The following is a 12,152-nucleotide window of genomic DNA, read 5'->3' as shown; positions in this document are numbered from 1 at the left end:
GACCTGTCTGGACTTACAAGATAACTGGAAACTATTGGGTTTTGTTTACCAGGTGGATTTTTCTGAGTTTTGTCCAACTCTGGTGGGGATGATCTTCTGGGTCTGTTGTTTGCTGATGCTCACTGCTGCATTATGTATGATTCCTGACTGTTCCTCATCTGAATAAGCCGTACGTTGCTTTGCTGGTGATTTCCCATTTGCACTCAGCCAGTGATTTTTGACAATATTTATACCTAAGTATAATTTTTTTCCATAATATTAACACTGAACTTTCATGGTAAGGTATAAAGGATGAGAATCATATGTCATATACTTGTGTATAATGTTAAAATATTTAAAGCATCAAAAACTGAAAAGCTACATGGAAATCTTCCTTCACCAAAATTACACACTGGATGTATTTTTTCAGTAGTATGAAGTTTTATAATGTTGATTTATTGTATCACAAGTAAATGCAAAACTGGAACTTGGAGAACAAGGCCTTATACTAAATATTTATAGTTTGAAAATAAATTTTCTCATTAGTTTTGCCATTTGAAACATTAATTATACTGGGGGAAGATGAATTGCTTTTCATTCTTTATATATCACCAACTTCAGAAGATATAAAATCTTTATTTACTAATTTATTTGAATAACACCACAGATCCTCATATCTCGGTACTAGAATGTATAAACATATCAAAGTAAGACATGACAGATATTTATGCAGTTCCCCATGTATAATAGGAGCTAAGTGTATTAGGGAAAAGTAGATGGGAGACAAAAATTTTAGAAGTGGCTTCTATTTTCAAATCTGCCATTGCATCACATCATGACTTTACTTGACACACATAAAACGGTGATTATATCTGCGCTACCCACTGCAGAGGATTTTGTGATGATCAAATAAAATAATATTTGTGAAGGTGCATTGTAAGCTATGAGATATTATATACATTTAGGCATTATTATTTATTAGATTTTGGCACTATGCAGTTGAGCCCAGATCAATTATGGGATCATAAATTTCCAAGTATCTGTTGAAAAAGCCTCCAGTGAAAAAAATCTCAACTCTTTTCTTTGATATGATAAGGCTAAGAATTGGGAGGAAGCTTAGAAAATTTCAAAAGTCATTGCCTGAAGAACATACATATTAAAAAGAAAAAGGAAAAGACTGGTATCTTGAAAGGTAGTTCAGCAGGCTGGGGGAAAGCTGTGTGAGTCACAACCAAATTATGTAGACTAGGTTGTAGTGATTTTGTGGATGCTCACAAAAATATGCATAGTGACTATTTAGCTGTAGGGATAAGGTAAATTCAATAAAGTACTATCAAAGCTGTGAATTTCTGCATACTTTGGAGGGAAAGTGAGAACAAAACTCAGATTGTCTTTTAGCCTATAGAGATTAAGTGAAAAAAATCAATATCAAAGAAGTGGTGATGTTGAGATGAAGGAAGAAGCACCTCTTCATATACATTCTCCTCTTTGTTGTGAAAAAGTTGTACTTTTATAGGAATATTCTCCATTATTTTTAATATATGGAAGGTTCTCATATTTTTCAATGTAGACTCTAGAAATTTTTTTTTGTATAATAGTGCCACTCACTGAATTGCTAAAAGGCTTCCTAACACAAATTATTAACACAAATGGATCAAGATTTTTCTATAATCATTATAATCTTTTTCTGTAAGTGCACTTTTAATAAATCTGATTTAATAACTGGATTTCCATAAAATTGCCATCTTATAACCCTGTTATATTTTCTACAGTTGCTCAGTGTGCCAGATTCCATTGCAAATACTTCCAAAGAGTGAATATAAATTCAGAGTGACAGTAAACATTTTGGGCATATGTTAAACCAGGAAAATTGATTCTTGACTGGTGCTACTTAACCCTGATTGGTATCTTGTAAACCTGTGCTACAACACTGGGGGAAGAGCACTCTTCAAACAAATTGTTTTCCTACAGACCAGCAGGGTGCCTAGGGTGCTAGGGTATATGTATCTTACTTCAACATAGGCAATATTTAGAAAAACTTTCTGGTTTAATGAGTCATCTTTTTAGGTACAATCCTAAGTTTATTAATGTGTAGGTAACAATTACTTTCTTCCCACTATCCTTTTACTGGTACTTTACAGTAACGCCCAGTGTTATGTTAATAGGAAACATCTAAAAGTGACTTAGAAATGGAAGAACCCCAGCATTCCCTATTGATGAGTGATATAAGGAAGCGAGCATTTCTAATTGGGTATCTACTGGGACTAAACCCTCCTATGGTAGACACTGAGAAGAGTACAAAGAAAGATGTGTCTCTCCTTTCTGAACTTTGAATTGTAATGGATAAAGAACTACTCCTGATAACTAGGATAATAATATTTTTAAAACTTTGCATGTGTGATTGTGGAGGGGGGGTGCCAATCTTTTAAATTTCACAACAGCTTATTAAAACAAGAATTAACCCAGCGCTTCTTTATTCTCAGTCAGTTCAAAACTCATTATTGGTTCTTCTCCCACCTTTTGCTTTGTGGTACCTTGACATGTTATTCCAGGAGAAGGTTAATTTCATGTAGATCACTCAGTCAATGTCCATGACATATTAGTCATCTTCATTCAGTGATTAAGGATTCAAAAGCCTGGAGACAAATGCCAAATGCCTTTTTTACTTAACAATATAGACTAAATACTTCAAACTCTTTAAACATTCTCATGAGTAATATCTGTCCGCCCTAAGTCAGGAATATGCAGCACAGTTGTTTCAATTATCTTGTTCTCTTCCATGTTTTCTTTGGTTTCTTGGTCTGCCTCCATCATTACCCCAATCCATTCAGTCTGCTAAAGGGTGTGTCCCATTGTTTAAAAAGGGCTTTTGTTTTTAGGCGCCATTGCTCTAGTAATGGATTAAAAGTATACTATATTTTTGGAGGTAATATGGATGGAGAATTTAGGTTTAAAGCCGCCTGTGATGTAAAGTTGTGACATGTGTTTACAGTGTGCTTAAAGCATCCTCAGTGGCAACTGAGTTTAGGAAATCAGATGTTGAAGCATGCATTGATTCTAGTTCAGAGAAAACTGATCACATAGCTTCATTCCCACAATTAGCCATGATTTTTTTCTTTAAAGTATATTTTGGCAGTGTAACAGAATTAAATGAACTCCTGTGGTCTCTCAACTATAAAGTATAATGGCTTTTTAGAAATAAATGCAGAGGGCACTAGTTTTGCAGCTCCAAACCAAAATATTTAACTGTATAGTCATATGGCTAGTTAATGTGCATATGGAGATTTTCAATCATTTTTGGATTTTTTAAATTAACCTGAAGTTTTACTTTAAAATAGAGCTGAAATATTATTGTAGGAAAATAGACCAGGCAGCCCCAAATAAATAATAATTTGGTAGTTATCTGTGTAAGTGCACATTGTTTAGATTTAGAGAGATACTTTTAGACAATTCAAGCCTCATTCTGCTCATACCCCTGACCATACTTTCATATATATTAGTGGTATGAATCTAGGCTAATGAAATTCAATTAATTTCCAGATCTTTACTCTGTGCTCCCCAAAACACACAAAACTCATTTTATTTTTTTAAAAAAATAACAAGTTCTAGTTTAGTTTGAAACATAGAATTCAATTGCATTTTTTTTTAACTATTTCAGTTTACTTTTTCCAGTACACTATATTTAGTTGAAGATTATTAATAGAAATGAATACTTTCAAGTCGACACTGCCAACTATAATGGTAAGAAAAGGAGGCAAATCAAACCTGAATTCATTGTAACTTGAATTCATTATAGAAGCAGGTTCTAACAGATACGTACGTGATCATCAGTGATGGCAGAGGGAAAGGCATAAGGGAGATAGAACAGCTTGGGATGTGGGAGAATTAATTTAGTTAGTCGGCATTTAATTATTTTCCCCCTGAGCGTCTCAGTATCTTTTTAACACAGCAATTTGTAATCTTAGTTTAAACACTTGCAGTTTTGAAGCTCTAATTATAGTTTATATAATTCATGTTTTCCAAAGAACAGTGTTTCTTTTTACATAGAAACATTTGCGTATTTCTTTCAGATGTTTAAATATTTCAGCATTCATAATAGGAAAAAAAATCCTTATGATAGCCTTATAATAGCTTTTTCTAAGGGATTGGAAACTACATATTAGAAGTTAAAAAACCCCTAATTTTGAAATTTGACTACATCATTTTTAGTGGGTTTTCATAACTATAAAATGTATGTTTAAGTGGAAATGTATAATATTTTCGGGCAGAAAAGCAACAATAATCATAACACATTGTATTAAGTTCAGAAATAATAATGATTATGGATATTTGACAACCTGAAAATTGCCTATTGCTTATAATTTCATTTTACAGTTTTCATGAAGGAAAACTCCAAATCTATTCTTTGGGACTTTGCTAGGAGACATTTGATCCTTCAGTGTCAAGCTATTTTACATTTTTGCTCCTTTTACTCTGCTGTAGAATTACTCTACTCAAGAGGAATAGACAAGCTTCTGGAAATCACAAGAGTGGCAACTGTCAGTGGTGGTAAAACAATATATATCCTGTAATTCGTGGGTTGGCCAAAGCTAGGCCTTTTCTCCTTTAGGGGGAATTACGGTTTATTTATAAGTTAGTTATCTGTCAAGCGGGAAAGATATCAAATTTCATTCTCTCTAGCACTTTTCATGGACATGTCATCCCAAGGTGTTAGTATACTGATTTATAAGAGGCCTGTAGAAATAGAAGGTGGCTTGTGCAAATCACTTGGATGTTTCAAAGAAAAATAAATAGGTTAGCTGAATTATTCAGGGACATCTTACTCTTGATTGCATGTGATTATAAGAGCTAATTAATCCATGGATATATCTGAGCTATCTTTAATTCCATCAACATTATTTTCAATATCACCATAACCAGTAAACATTTCTTGATGTCTTATATGCATAAAGTATGTATGAATGTATTTAAAGAGTATATGCCTGTGGATAGATACATGTGTAACATATATAAAGCCCTGACACTGAAGCGGTAAATACACAACCCCTACCTTCAAAAAGCCGCAGATCTAGTCTTTACTTTTTGTGTATTTACAGCTAGTACAGTCTGCAAATCAAGTTCAGCATAATCTGAGGAGCACCCTAGAATGGAAGGTAGTTCAGGGCATGAATTCTGAAGCCAAATTGTCTCAGTTCAAATTCCAGCTGGGTCTTACTAACTGGGGATCTCTGAGCAAGTTACTTAAGCTGTCTGTGACCCAGTTCTTTATCTGCAAAATTGGGATTGTAATAATACTTACCTCATAAGGCTACTAGAAAGATTAAATGAGTTGATATTTATAAAACACCTAGCAGCTGGCATATAGCAAGTGTTATATAAATGAAAGATGCTCAGTGGATATTGTAAAATGGGATTATACTATTCAGTAGATGGAAAGATCTCTTGGGGATGGTTCCAGTGACTTGGAGGAGACAAGATTTGAGTTAGATCTTGAAGACAGAAGAGAAGCAGAAAGATAGAGGAGGACTTTTCAGATGAATAGGGTGAAATATGCTGTCCTACTGGTGCAGGCTTGATCTCAAGGCAAATACATTTTTGGCAGCAAACATTCAAAGAACAGGAGAATGCTGGAGTTGAGGCTGCAGAAACTGGCCCTGCAACAGGATTTACCTCTGGGTGGAATGACTATCAGTCAAACTCTAAATCCAAGGGTGTGGCATGGATAACATGAACCTATTTAGAGGTGAGTCTGATGTCTAAGAAGAAAGTCAACTGAGTTTTCCAGGCAGTTGTGCTGTTCACTGATCACAGATGTCAGCTTTTTGTTTCAGGATGATCAATCCACTTTGGAACAAGACCAGCTGTTCACCTTGCGTCCTCTTCTAAATTACCAATGAGTTGTGAAGCTGGCACCCACCAACAGACAAACTGGGCACACCAGACCTCATCATGGCAAGGCGCTCACTCTGTCTCGCTCTGTTTCCCCACATGGCTTTACCTACCAGATCATTTCCTAGTACCTAATTAGCTTCTGAATGCCTCCATTTCTTTGGCAGTTTTTGGCTCCATTTACTGCCCCTTCTCTCTCCATGTTAGTGGTCTCTTTGGCACAGCTACATTCATTCATTCCAGGTGACATCTCTGCCCAGCTGAGCTCCCATCTGTAGATCCCCACCACACAGATTTATCTCAGCCCACCTTAGGTGGAGTCCAAGCCCAGCAGCTATGGATGAGGGAATTGGGACCCAGGAGCCCAGTCTGCCTTAGATGGATGCTGACAAGAATTGGGCCATGGATCAGAGCCCCAGCCAAGAAAGCCAGAGCTCAGAGCAGAACTCTAGTATTAATAAGGAAGTGGAACTCAAACAAAAGATTGAGGTGGAAGCTTTATCACATGATCATCACTGTAAAAGGCCCAAGAAGCCTGAACTTTAGGATCCCACAGTAGAGGCTCATTTTACATGAGGAGCTCTTTTATTCCCAACCCACTTGCAACATCTACATCATATAAGGGATTGTCCATATTTAGTTCTGGCACTAGGAAGGGCTGATACTCCCAGACGGAGGATTTTCTGAATAACTGTAAGGGCCTGGGAAAAGCAAAAGCTGAGGAAGGTTTATAAACAAAAGTGTAGAGGAATATGCCTTCCTATGTGCTTCTGAGTAATAAACAGAATTGCAGCACAGGGCAGAGTTGATGAGTACTGGGAAATGTTTAGGGCCAAGAATAGCAGGCTTTTAATGCCAGGTAAGGGGTTTGGATTGCTTTTTGGGCAGGGGAATTGCTGAATATTTTGAGCCTTGATGCGTCTGGAGATTAGCTGGCAGTTGTCTGTGAGCTGAAATATAGCAACAGAGGAAGAGATGAGTCCAGTTATGACATTCTTTATTCACAGAGACAACACTCTGAGTTTTAGCTTTTCAATGTCTGACATTTAGTAGGTACTTAATAAATATTTATGTAATGAAAGAATAAAGTAATTAATTATAGGCTCCTTGAGTTAGTAGATAAATTCAAGATCAACTAATCTAACCCTTTATTTATTGTATCAAGTGATCTGACAGCTTGTCTGAATATTTCTTGTTATATGGAAAATTCAGTATATATCTAGGCAGCACATTTCTTTTGGCGTGGTGGCATTTTTCTACTACTAAGAAAGTTTCTACTTATAATGAGCTGAAAGAGGACCTAATTTTTTCTTTCCCTTGAATGTAATAACCACACATAGGTCACAGGCCTCTGGAGTCATATAAAATACCCATCGCTGTCTCAGAGAGGTCTTTCATACTTCAGTAGGCTATGCCAATAGTCTTGGTATATACCCCATTAGCACCTGCAACTCTGTGTTTGAAGTACTCACTGCACCAGCCATTAATTATTAGCATCTATGATGAGAATACCACTGCTGAATCCCCAGTGCTTAGCACAGCCCTGACACAGAGTAAGTGTTCTATAAATACTTATCTACTGCACAATTTTCTATTTATATTCTCTAGTATACAAGTGACTATTCTAGACATTGGTGTTGCAGCAATAAAATAAAACAGATGAAGACTCTTCGTGCATGATATTTCCGTTGGCAGGAGGGATGTGGGGAGGAGGGAGATAGACAACACCCATATAAACAAATGATATGAAATATGTTAGTGGTCATAAATATAATGACAAAAATAACACCATGTAAGGAGACAGGGTTGAGGGATGCTACTTTAGATAAAGTGTTTAGGGAGGATTCTTCAGGGAAGGACATTTGAGCAGAAAGTGGCATAAAACCCTGGGGCAAAACAGAGAGCTACCTAGATGTCTTGGAGAGGACATTCTAGACTAACACTAAACAGAGATTGAACTGAATTGAATTCCTTGTTCTCACAGAGATCATGATATCTATTACTGAGCTCAATATTTTACAATTTTCCAAAAATGATTGATAAAGAAAGAATAAAGAGTAAGTTTGTTATTTGGCTGATAGAACCTTTTATTTTTTTGAAATTGGAATGAAATTGTCATGGGATTTGAACACACATGGAAGCAGATCTGGGTTTTGTAGAGGCCGAAGCATATAGAGTTTTGAAAGTTTTATATAAGAAGACATGCACAAACTTTTATTTTCATAAATTTTACAAAACATATGACTTAGCGTACACATTGCTAGGGCCTCAAAAGGTGAGAAACCTGAAAATTTCAGCTTCATTAGCTTTGTGGCACATCCACCTCTAGGCTCACTATGCATCTGAACGGAAAAGAAATCGTTACTCTTTCTATTGCCTCTTCTGTTTATGACCTAATAAGGAAATGGCAGTTTGAGGTTAACCCAGTGGTTTTTCTAGGCAAGCACCTAATTAATAATTGTACAATTCCATTCCAGCATGAGGAAACCAGGCCATTTTGGTGATGTGGATAAAGCACTTGGGTGAGATTCAAGGGTCCTAATTTTAGTCCTGTCATTTGTAAGCTATGGGAACAAAGTACAAGCCAACCAACCAATCTGCCACTCTCCCCCCTCTTCATTTGAAAGGGTTGAATTAGAGCAGTGCTTCACTGGCCAGCTTTAAGATATTTATTATATTTAAATATCACCTATACTATGCTTTACTTTGTATTTTCAGAGAATCATTCACATTTTTTTCTTAAATCTATTTAAAGATCTTTAATGTGATTAAAGATCACATTAATACATCACATCACTATTGACACTGGACATAATTAACTGATACTAGAAATTTGGCGAATACATTTGATAAAGGCTTAACAATATTATTAGACTCTGGCTACATTTCTAGCTTGAAGAAGTCTTTCAGACCAAAGACTTTCTCTATTTATATTGTAAAGAGAGATGATTAAGTATCAAGCTGCTGCTAAAGCCATATCTCTACCAAATGGAGCCTTTTTCATGATGTATTCAATAAATTAATAGAGAATTACAAATAAATAATATTGGTAAATAAGCATATTATTTTGCTTTTTAAGGTTACTTAATGCCAGTCTTTGTATCACCTAAAATAATTTTGTTGACTATGTACATCCACAGTTGGAGATAAACTAGATTATATAACCTTGTTTGGGGTTCAAAATTTTTCTCTTAAATTTCCATTAAGCAAGAGTCAGTAAACTATAGCCTGCACATCAAATCCAAGTCACTCTCTGTTTATAAATAAAGTTTTGTTGAAACACAGCAACACTCATTTGTTTGTGTATTCTCTAGGGTTGCTTTCGCACTATTATGGTAGAGTAGTTCTAAAGGAAATGGTAAAGGCTGTTCAAATATGTACTATTAGATCTTTATCAAAGAAGTGTGCTTACTTCTGCATTAAAAAAGAGTGTGACTTAGGTGGCTTCATGGTTTTAGTACCTCCTGTGCCAAATACTGCAGAGGCTCAATCAATAAAAAGAAATGTAAAAGTAAATTATCTACACTTGCATATCTAATGGACATCTCAGACTGAACAAGTGCAATAAGCGTGACTGATCTCCATGGCCAAACCTTGTCTATCTGCACTTGGTGGCATCTCCATTTCTTTTATTGTTAAGGTGGAAAGCCTTGGAGTCATCCTTTACCCTTTATTTTTCTTGAATCCACATTCAATCGATTGGGAGACTCTTGGCTGTACCTTCCAAACAGATCCAGAATCTGAGCACTTCTCACTCCATCCAATGCTACCATCCTTGTTAAAGCTACTGTCATGTCTGCGTTGGATGACTGCCATCGCCTCTTGGTCTCCCTGCTTCCACCCTTGAATCTACAATCTAAGTTTAACATAACACATAGCCAAATCATTAGACTTCTCTCCTCAAAAACCTTTCACTCTCTTAAGAGTAAAATCCAAAGTCCCAAAGAATTTACAGGACTCAAGGTGACATGGTCCCCTTTATCTCCCTTGTTGCATTGTGTAGTGATCTTTCCTCAGTCCCTCTGCCCCAGCGTATCAGTCACACTCCCTGCTGGCTCTTTCCTCCACCTGAACTGCTCTTCTCTTTATATACACTTGCCTCAGTTTGTCACTTCCTTCAGGTTTTTTTTTTTTGAGACAGGATCTCACTCTGTTGCCAAGGCTGTAGTGCAGTGGTGCAATCACGGCTCACTGCAGCCTTGACCTCCTGGGCTCAAGTGATCCTCCCACTTCAGCCACCAGACTAGCTGGGACTACAGGCATACACCATCACATCCGGTTAATTTTTATACTTTTTGTAGATATGGGGGTCTAACTATGTTTCCCAGGCTGGTCTTGAACTCCTGAGCTCAAGCAATCTGCCTGTCTTGGCCTCCAAAAGTGCTGGGATTATTGGTGTGAGCCATTGCATTTGGCCTTTCTGGCCTTTAGTAGATGTCACATCTTCATTAGTAGTGACTGCAAAACCATCACATTTGACTTGAAATTAATCATCCCAAACCTCAATAATCTCTGGAAATCTTTCTGAGATTTTCTGGTAAATTCTCTCGTCTCTCTCTCTCTCTTTCTTTCTTTCCCAGATGACTGTTTTATTGCTTCATTTTATTGCTAGTTGCTTATCAATATCCCTTCACTCCTTCCTCAGCACTAATGACTCCATGATTTTCTTTAAGGCAGCCAAATGTGTTGCCAAACTCTTGTATTTCCCAGCCTCTCTTCCCAGAATCAGTGGCCACGTGACTATTTGAGCTAATATTACACATATAGAAATCTAGACGTTTCTGGGCAAGTTATTTACATGCCCTCCTTCCTGATTCTGGAACAAAGACATAATGGTTGAGGTTGAAGCAACCATCCTGCAACTATAGAAAAAATCCAAAATCATGTTAGGATACCCATAACCAAACACATTTGTAACGGATACACTTTTCTTCTTTCCCTAAATTTCCTACCTCATTCACTCTCCCTTCTCTTCAAACTAATAATTTGCTGAAAACAATAGAAGCTGTCAGTAGATTTCCTCGTTTACTGTGATCTCATCAGCAGGCCTGACTCTTTATGCATCTGTCATCTCTTGCTTTCCTACGATGAGGCAGGCTCTGTCCTCCTCCAATCAAAGGCCAACCCCTTATGCATTTCACATCCTCTTCTCAAGGACTTTGGGCACTCCCATTATCCACTCTAGCTTTTTAAATTAGCCTTATTATCTCTGCCTAATAATTTCTACCAGAAAACAATCTCTAGAAACACTTATCTTAAAAGAAATAAATCCTATACAATACAGGCATCAACCCCAGTTTCCTGCTCCCTAAAGTAGATAAGCTTATAAAAACCCAAAGCTGTCTTCACATATTTCATCTATTTATTTATTTTCATTCACTAATCAATCCATTTAAATTTGGCTTCTAATTCCACAATTTCAGTGAAACTTAATGTCAAGATAATCATGAACCTCCAGGTTGCCAAATCCTGTCATCTGGTTCTTTATCCTCATCATATTTGACCTTTTGGCAACATTTAACTTGGTTTACCATTTCTTCACCTTGAAACACTTCTAATTTTTAGGTTTATGACACCGTATTCTCCTGGTTTTCACCTTATTTACCTGGTCACTTCATTTTAGTCAGGATTTTTGGCTACCTCTTTTTTATAACACATTTACAAATTAGCATTTTTTTTTAGCACTTTTCCAGGTCTTCTTTTTTTCTGTCTAAACCGTACACTTAGACGACGCCATCTAGTTTCCAAAATGTCAGTACTATCTTTATAGCCACAAAAAAAAAAAAAAAAAAAGCCAATTAAATGTTTCTGGTTCAAATTCTCTTCCAAGATTAGGACAAGTCTTAATGACATCTTCATATCTGTGTCTCTTGGGAATGTCAAAAATAACATGGCTGTCTTAGTCCATTTGGGCTTCTATAACAATACCTTAGACTGGGTAATTTATAAGTAACAGAAATTTATTGCACACATTTCTGGAAGCTAGGAAGTCCAAGATACAGGATGCCAGCAGATTTAGTGTTTGGTGAGGGCCAGTTTCTCATAGATGGTGACTTCTATGTATCCTTACTTGGTAGAAAGGCAAAAACAAGCTTAGAAGCTCTCTCAGGCCTTTTTCATAAGGAGGCTAAGGTCTAACCTTAATATCTCCCAAAGGTCCACATCCTAATAGCATCATCTTGGGGGTTAGGTTTTGACATCTGAATTTGAGCAGAAGGCACATATATTCAGACCATAGCAGTAGCCAAAAGTTAACTCTTGATTTATCTTTCAGAATCGAATCT

At 36.5% G+C, this 12,152-nt stretch overlaps 1 annotated feature.

The window, feature by feature from the left end:
• Positions 1,677 to 2,255: an enhancer, noted in NCBI's record as "NANOG hESC enhancer chr5:30845424-30846002 (GRCh37/hg19 assembly coordinates)". NCBI's record gives its function as "activates a minimal SCP1, AML or CMV promoter by ChIP-STARR-seq in naive H9 embryonic stem cells {active_cell/tissue: H9 hESC(naive)}" and the evidence as "EXISTENCE:reporter gene assay evidence [ECO:0000049][PMID:30033119]".

This window comes from Homo sapiens, chromosome 5, assembly GCF_000001405.40.
Source record: "Homo sapiens chromosome 5, GRCh38.p14 Primary Assembly".
In the NCBI taxonomy this organism is placed as follows: domain Eukaryota; kingdom Metazoa; phylum Chordata; class Mammalia; order Primates; family Hominidae; genus Homo; species Homo sapiens.
The sequence above is the reverse complement of the archived record's forward strand: the minus strand, read 5'-3'. Positions and strand labels throughout refer to the sequence as shown.